The 7,974-nt window shown below is 51.7% G+C and overlaps 3 annotated features.

The window, feature by feature from the left end:
* Window positions 2,588–3,088: an enhancer, noted in NCBI's record as "H3K4me1 hESC enhancer chr19:4738040-4738540 (GRCh37/hg19 assembly coordinates)". NCBI's record gives its function as "activates a minimal SCP1, AML or CMV promoter by ChIP-STARR-seq in naive H9 embryonic stem cells {active_cell/tissue: H9 hESC(naive)}" and the evidence as "EXISTENCE:reporter gene assay evidence [ECO:0000049][PMID:30033119]".
* Window positions 3,089–3,589: an enhancer, noted in NCBI's record as "H3K4me1 hESC enhancer chr19:4738541-4739041 (GRCh37/hg19 assembly coordinates)". NCBI's record gives its function as "activates a minimal SCP1, AML or CMV promoter by ChIP-STARR-seq in naive H9 embryonic stem cells {active_cell/tissue: H9 hESC(naive)}" and the evidence as "EXISTENCE:reporter gene assay evidence [ECO:0000049][PMID:30033119]".
* Window positions 7,173–7,773: an enhancer, noted in NCBI's record as "H3K4me1 hESC enhancer chr19:4742625-4743225 (GRCh37/hg19 assembly coordinates)". NCBI's record gives its function as "activates a minimal SCP1, AML or CMV promoter by ChIP-STARR-seq in primed H9 embryonic stem cells {active_cell/tissue: H9 hESC(primed)}" and the evidence as "EXISTENCE:reporter gene assay evidence [ECO:0000049][PMID:30033119]".

The raw sequence follows: 7,974 nt of genomic DNA on the forward strand, positions 1-7,974 counted from the left end.
GCTCCGGAGGCTGAGGCAGGAGAATCGCTTGAACCCGGGAGGCAGAGGTTGCGGTGAGCCGAGATTGCAGCATTGCACTCCAGCCTGGGCGACAAGAGTGAAACTCTGTCTCAGAAAAAAAAAAAAAAATTAAATATTTATTCCCTCAGCATCATATCTACAATAATCCCATTTATTCTCAATGCCACAGTGGCAATTCTTCGATGGATCGGCCAGGGAGATTTGAAGTACCCGGGAAGCCCTCATTGTACTACATCTTTGTAATTTTCATTGATTTATGAAACGATGCCTGTTGTCTGCAGCCCCTGCTAACACGGTCCTCTAAGATTACTGCCATTTGGGGGTGTTTAAATCTATCATACATGGTACTATAATAACTACAACCTTAACAGCAGATAACATTTCTCAAAGCCCCCCAAGCACTAAAGAATTTAATCTGGCCGGGCGCGGTGGCTCACGCCTGTAATCCCAGCACTTTGGGAGGCTGAGGCGGGTGGATCATGAGGTCAGGAGATCGAGACCATCCTGGCTAACACAGCGAAACCCCGACTCTACTAAACATACAAAAAAATTTAGCCAGGCGTGGTGGTGGGCACCTGTAGTCCCAGCTACTCGGGAGGCTGAGGCAGGAGAATGGTGTGAACCCGGGAGGTGGAGCTTGCAGTGAGCCGAGATGGTGCCACTGCACTCCCGCCCGGGCAACAGAGTGAGACTCCATCTCAAAAAAAAAAAGAAAAAAGAATTTAATCCTCGGCAACCACCCTATGAGGTGTGATTAATATTATTGTTTGTTTGTTTGGGTTTTTTTTTTTTTCTTTTTCTTTTTATACACAGGGTCTTGCTCTGTCGCCCAGAATGGAGTGCAGTGGTGTGATCGTGGCTCACAGTAGCCTGGAACTCCTGGGCTCAAGTGATCTTCATGCTTCAATCTCCTGAGTAGCTGGGAGCAGAGACACATGCCCCAATCACTGAAATTTGCCCCAAATCACTCATATAGGGGCAGGGTCAAAACACAAACCTGTTTCTCTATGAGGGCTGTGTCCTGTGTCCACATTATCACTTAATATCAGTGAGTTTCACCTGGGGGTGATTCTGTCCCCCCACAGGGGACACTTGGCCATGTCTGGGGACATTTGTGGTGGGTGCCCCTGGCATGGAGTGTGTGGAGTCCAGGGATGCTGCTCAGCATCCTGCACTGTCCAGGGCAGCCCCCACCCCACAGGATGGCCCAGGCCTAAATGTCCACACTGCCAAGGGGGAGAGAGCCTGGCCTGGCCCTCAGCTCCCCTCCAGCGGCCCCTAGCCCCTATGACCCACCATGGGTGGTGAGGCTTCCCTGTGTTGCTGGCCTTGCAGGCTGCACCCCTGTGGTTGGTTTCCCTTAGCTCTCCCCACATTCCTATAGGTGGAACTCCTTTCTGGTACCCAGTCTGGAACAGACCAGCCTCGTTCCGCCGTCCCCCTTTGGGAGGCCAAGGCAGGAGGATCCTTTGAGCCCAAGAGGTTGTGGCTGCAGTGAGCTGTGTTTGTGCCACTGTACTCCACCCTGGGCAACAGAGCAAGACTCTGTCTCTAAAATAAGTTTTAAAAATATAAACCACTAAGGCCAGGTGTGGTGGCTCACGCCTGTAATCCCAGCACTTTGGGAGGCCGAGGTGGGTGGATCGCTTGAGGTCAGGAGTTTGAGACCAGCCTGGCCAACACGGTGAAACCCTGTCTCTACTAAAAATACAAAATTTAGCCAGGCGTGGTGTCACACGCCTGTAGTCCCAGCTACTTGCGAGGCTGAGACAGGAGAATGGCTTGAACCTGGGAAGCAGAGGTTGCAGTGAGCCGAGATTGCTCCATTGCAATCCAGCCTGGGCAACAAAGCAAGACTCCATCTCAAAAAAAAAAAAAAAAAAAAATATATATATATATATATATATATATATATACACACACACATATACATATATATATACATATATATACACATATACATATATATACATATATACACATATACATATATATACACATATATATATACACACATACATATATACACACACATATATATATATATATATATACACACACACCATCGGCTAGGCATGGTGGCTTACACTTATAGCTCCAGCACTTTGGGAGGCCAAGGCAGGAGGATGTCTAGAGCCCAGGAGTTAAGATCAGCCTGGCATCACAGTGAGACCAATCTCTACAAAAAATTCACTGGCATAGTGGCGTTCGCTTGCGGTCCCAGCTACTTGGGAGGCTGAGGCGGGAGGATGGCTTGAGCCCAGGAGTATGAGACCAGCCTGGGCAACATAGCAAGGCCCGGTGCTCTACAAATAATAAAAAAATGAGACAGGCATGGTGGCACACACCTGTGGTCCTAGCCACTTGGGAGGCTGAGGCAGGACGATCACTTGATCCCAGGAGGTTGAGGCTGCAGTGAGCTTTGATCGCACCACTGCACTCCAGCCTGGGAACAGAGCAAGACCCTGTCCCTAAAAAAAAAAAAAAGAAAATAAAAAAAAAAAGAGAGAGACAGAGAGAGAATGACAGGGAGGGGATAGCCAAGGAAGGGGTGAGGCCAGAGGTGTCTCCAGTTAAAACAGGGGCAGTAGTCTGATTTGCAGATGCCACCATGGTGCAGCTGGGCATGCAATCCCCTGGCAGGGTTCAATGCTATGCCCATTTCCTAGAAGGCAAAACTGATACTCTGAGGGCAGAGCTGTTCTATTCTTTCCTTCCTTCCCCTAGCTGGGGGGAAGGGAGGGCTCCCCAGAGGAGAGGAGAGCTGGGTGGCAGGGGTGGGGGTGGGAGAGATAGCTGATTAGGGGCCCGTTTATTAGCTGTAATTGCTGTCTCCTGGGCTGAATTAGACGAAATTACAGCCGCTGGCCCTTCAGGATGTCGAGCTCTCGGCATTGTCTGTGGAAGCAATCCAACGGCGGAGGGGAGTGGAGAGGGGGATGGGGGGTGCCTCTTGACAATAGAGCCCCCGAATTAGCCAGGCAGGGAGGCGGGGAAGCTGCGGCCTGACCACCCCCTCCCCACCACCCTAAAGAGCTGTCAGAGTCTCAATGAATTCAGCTCCACGAAGGCCAATTAAAGATAGCAGGGGGCCCAGTGGGCTGGGACAGGAGGTGGGAGAAGAGGGGGGAGGGGGACCACATGAACCAGGGTAGGGAGGTGCCAGCGAGGGGTGCCCAGGTCCACAGAGATCTGTGTGGAGAGACAGGCTGTGGGGGCATCGTGGACCCCCCAAATATTGAAGGGGGTGGGGTTCTATTCTTCCTCCTCACACTACCCTTTGCCCCCCATGCCTGATTAGAAAGATGGGGTTGCCCTGGAAGAGCAAGAGGAGCCCCCCAGGAGAAGAAGAGACAGTGGGACCCACCCAGCAAGCACTCCTCCTACCTCTCCCGTGGCCCTTGGCTGGTGTTCCTTGGTCAACAAGCATCAGCTGTTCTGTCCCTCTGTTAGCCACTGCTCACGGGGCCACTTCCAGTAGCATCCTGAGGGAAGGCCAGCCACACCTCTTGGAAGCCCTCCAGGATTGCCTAAGGCCTCACCACAGAGAGTCTCCAATCCCCAGGCACCCTCCCTTCCCCATCTCCTCTCTAATCTAACCCCCGCTCCCCGTCTTCCAAGGAACTCCCCCTCCTCTGTGAGCCCCACCTCTAGACCTCCTCCCTTTCTTGTTCTTTCTTTTTTGAGATGGAGTCCCACTCTGTCTCCAGGCTGGTGTGCAGTGGTGTGGTCTTGGCTCACTGTGACCTCCACCTCCTGGGTTCAAGCGATTCTCCTGCCTCAGCCTCCCGAGTAGCTGGGATTACAGGCGCCCGCCAGCACGCCTGGCTAATTTTTTCTATTTTTAGTAAAGACGGGGTTTCACCGTGTTAGCCAGGATGGTCTCGATCTCCCGACCTCACGATCTGCCCGCTGCAGCCTCCTAAAGTGCTGGGATTACAGGTGTGAGCCACTGCGCCCGGCCAGTCTCTACTAAAAGTTTAAAAATTATCTGGGCATGCTGGGCACGGTGGCTCATGCATGTAATCCCAGCACTTTGGGAGGCCGAGGCAGGCGGATCACTTGAGGTCAGGAGTTCGAGACCAAGCTAGCCATCATGGTGAAACCCCATTTCTACTACAAATACAAAAATTAGCCGGGCGTGGTGGCATGCACCTGCAATCCCAGCTACTCGGGAGGCTGAGGCACGAAAATCGCTTGAAACTGGGAGGGGGAGGTTGCAGTGAGCCGATATTGTGCCACTGCACTCCAGCCTGGGCGACAGAGTGAGACTTCCTCACAAACAAACAAACAAACAAATAAAACCTCTGGACCCCAAAGCTTGGTGGAGCTTCCTGATTGGTGAACATATTGATGTTCTTCCAGGAGAGGAGACACACTCTAATGCCTCAAGAAGAGGACATGGGGCCGGGCACGGTGGCTCACACCTATAATCCCAGCACACTGGGAGGCTGAGGTGGGAGGATCACTTGAGCTCAGGTGTTCGAGACCAGCCTGGCCAACATGGTGAAACCCCATCTCTACTAAAAATACAAAAATTAGCTGGGTGTGGTGGCGGGCAACTGTAGTCCAAGCTCTGGCGGCTGAGGCAGGAGAATCACTTGAACCTGTGAGGTGGAACGCTGTGAGTCAAAATCACACCACTGCACTCCAGCCTGGGCAACAGAGAGAGACTCCACCTCAAAAAAAAAAAAAAAAGACATGGAAGCTCTTTTGGGGACCCTCCCAGACTTTGTCCTATGTGTCTCTTTGTTTGGCTGTTTCTGACTTGTTTTGTTACTTTTTAAATGTTTTTTTAGAGACATGATCTCACTTCGTTGCCCAGGCTGGAGTGAAGTGGTGAGATCATAACTCACTGTAGTCTTGACCTCCTGGCCTCAAGAGATCCTCCTGCCTCACACTCCTGAGGAGCTGGGACTACAGGTGCATGCTATCATCGCTGGCTAATTTTTTTTTTTAATTTTTTGCAGAGATGGGGTCTCACTATGTTGCCCAGGGTGGTCTTGAACTCCTGAGCTCAAGGTATCTTCACTCCTCAGCCTCCCAAAGCGCTAGGATTGCAGGCGTGAGCCACTGTGACTGGCCTCTGACTTGTGGGGTTTTTTGCTTATTTGTTTTTTGTTTTTGAGACGGAGTCTCACTCTGTCACCCAGGCTAGAGTGCAGTGGCGCGATCTCGGCTCACTGCAACCTCCGCCTCCCAGGTTCAAGCGATTCTCCTGCCTCAGCCTCCTGAGTAGCTGGGACTACAGGCGCCCACCACTATGCTTGGCTAATTTTTTGTATTTTTAGTAGAGACGGGATTTCACCATGTTAGCCAGGATGGTCTCGATCTCCTGACCTAGTGATCCGCCCGCCTCGGCCTCCCAAAGTGCTGGGATTACAGGCGTGAGCCACCGTGCCAGGCCTGACTTGTGTTTTTAATTAAAAAAATTCTTTCCGAGACAGGGTCTCACTCTGTTGCCCAAGCTGCAGTGTAGTGATGCAATCATGGCTCACTGCAGCCTCAACCTCCCAGGATCAAGTGATCCTCCTGCCTCAACCTCCCAACTACCTGGGACTACAGGTGCACAGCACCACACACAGCTAATTTTTGTTTTTTTTTTTTAGAGGTGGAGTTTTGCTACGTTGCCCAGGCTGGTCTCAAATTCCTGGGTTCAGTCCTCCTGCCTCGGCCTCCCAAAGTCCTGGGATTACAGGCATGAGCCATTGCTCCTGGTGACGAGGACAGCCTTGTTAGGGACTGTGCCCATAACTTGAGTCTGTTATAACCCCAGGCGGTTAATGTCAGAATTGCATTGTAGAGCCTGGGTAATGTGGCAAAATCCTGTCTTTACAAAACATCAAAAAATTGGCCCGGCACAGTGGCTCATGCCTGCAATACCAACACTTTGAGAGGCCGAGGTGGGCAGGGCACGAGTTTGAGACCAGCCTGGCCAACATGGTGAAACCCCGTCTCTACTAAAAATACAAAAATTAGCCGGGTGTGGTGGCGAGCACCTGTAGTTCCAGCTACTCGGGAGGCTGAGGCAGAAGAATCGCTTGAACCTGGGAGGTGGAGGTTGCAGTGAGCCAAGACCATGCCATTGCACTCCAGCTTGGGCGACAGAGTGAGACTCTGTCTTAAAAATAAATAAATAAGTAAATAAAATTAAAAAGGAAAAGAAAATAATGTATTTTATTTATTATTATTATTATTATTATTATTTTTATTCTTCTTATTATTTTTTTGGAGATAGAATCTCACTCTATACCCCAGGCTGGAGTGCAGTGGCATGATCTCAGCTCACTGCAACCTCCAGCTCCCGGGTTCAAGTGATTCTACTGCCTCAGCCTCCAGAGTAGCTGCGATTACAGACGCCCACCACCATGCCTGGCTAATTTTTGTATTGTTAGTAGAGATGGGGTTTTGCCATGTTGGCCAGGCTGGTCAAGAATATATTCCATTTATTTTATATTATATATAGTACATATGTAGAGTATTAGCTAGAGTATTCTATAATGTATAGTAATATGTATCTATTGTCTATCATATAAATCACATATACTCACACCAAGAGTGTATCTTTTATTTTTTATTTTTGTGATGGGTCTTGCTCTGTTGCCCAGGCTGGAGTGCAGTGGCGCAATCATAGCTCACTGCAACCTTGAACTCCTGGGCTCAAGCAATTTGCCTGCCTTGGCCTCCCAAAGGGCTAGGATGACAGGCGTGAGCCACCACGCCCGGCCTCTGAGTGCCTCTGTGTTGTGTGTGAAGCCCAGTTTGCTGGAATGTTCTGGTGTTACAACTGTTCCAGCCTGACCGTGTGTGGCAGTGGGAGTGTATGTCATGATCTGCGCTTCTGTGACTGTGTTTCGTGGCTACATTTGTGTGTGTGTGTGGGCATGTTCGTGGGCATGTGGAGGTACGTTCGTGTCCCCTGTGTGGTTGTACTTGTAACCCTGCGTGTGTGTCTGTGTGTGTGTGAACCCGTGACCATCTGAAAGTGCACGGCCGAGCTTGTGGCTGGGGTGTGTCGGGCCTCTGTGCTCCGAATCCTGTCCCGAGGCTGTTGCACGTGGCCTTGGGCGTCCTCCAGAGAGACAGTCATGCTCCACGGCCACGTGCGTGCGTGTGTGTGTGTGTGTGTGTGTGTGTGTGTGTGTGGCTCTGGCACATGCCTGTGTGACCCTGCAGGGCTGTGTCCAGGGGACCTAGGGGGACAGGAGAGAGCTCAGGGGCTGTCTGAGCCGTAGGGGGTGTCTGTGATTTTCAGTGTGTGTGGCCCTGTGGTGACTCTGAGTGGCAGGTACATGTGCATTTAGAAGAAGCCCCTGGGGCCCAGCCTCCCCCAGCCCCCAGCCAGCCTGGTGCATGTTCTCAGGACACACCCAGGCCTGAAGAGCTCATAAGTGGAGATGAGTCCCCACCAGCCTTGCAGTCCTCCGTTCCCTCTCCTCCTCTCCTTTCCTCCCCCTTTCTCCCCTCCTCTCCCCCTTGGTCCCCTCTCCCTGCCGAGTACAAGGGGAGAAGCAGCCTCTGCCATCAGCTGGAACACGCTTAAGTGGCCCATTTCCTGGGAGGCTGGGTGGCCTCACCAGCCATTAGGGTAATGAGCCGCATGCTGTCCCCCATCCAGCGCCCTGGTAACCAAGGAGGGGGGCATTGCTCGCTCTGCAGGGCTGCGTTTTCCTCCTCCTGGCAGGGATAGGGATGGGGAGCAGGGAGGGAGGGCCCTGCAGACACAGACCAAGGCCAGAGGGGAGGGACACAGCAGAGATTCACATACAGGTCGGTTGGAGGCAGGAAGGGAACAAGAGACAGAGAGGAGAGGGAGAGACAGAGCCAGAGATAGACTGAGAGCGAAAATGGGGTGGAGACAGAGATAGAGAGAGACTAACGACCAGGCAAGGAGGAGGAAGACAGGGAAATGAGAGAGAAGATGTTTGGGGGGTGGGAGAGAGAAACAGGCAG

The sequence above is a fragment of the Homo sapiens genome, chromosome 19 (assembly GCF_000001405.40).
Source record: "Homo sapiens chromosome 19, GRCh38.p14 Primary Assembly".
Lineage (NCBI taxonomy): Eukaryota > Metazoa > Chordata > Mammalia > Primates > Hominidae > Homo > Homo sapiens.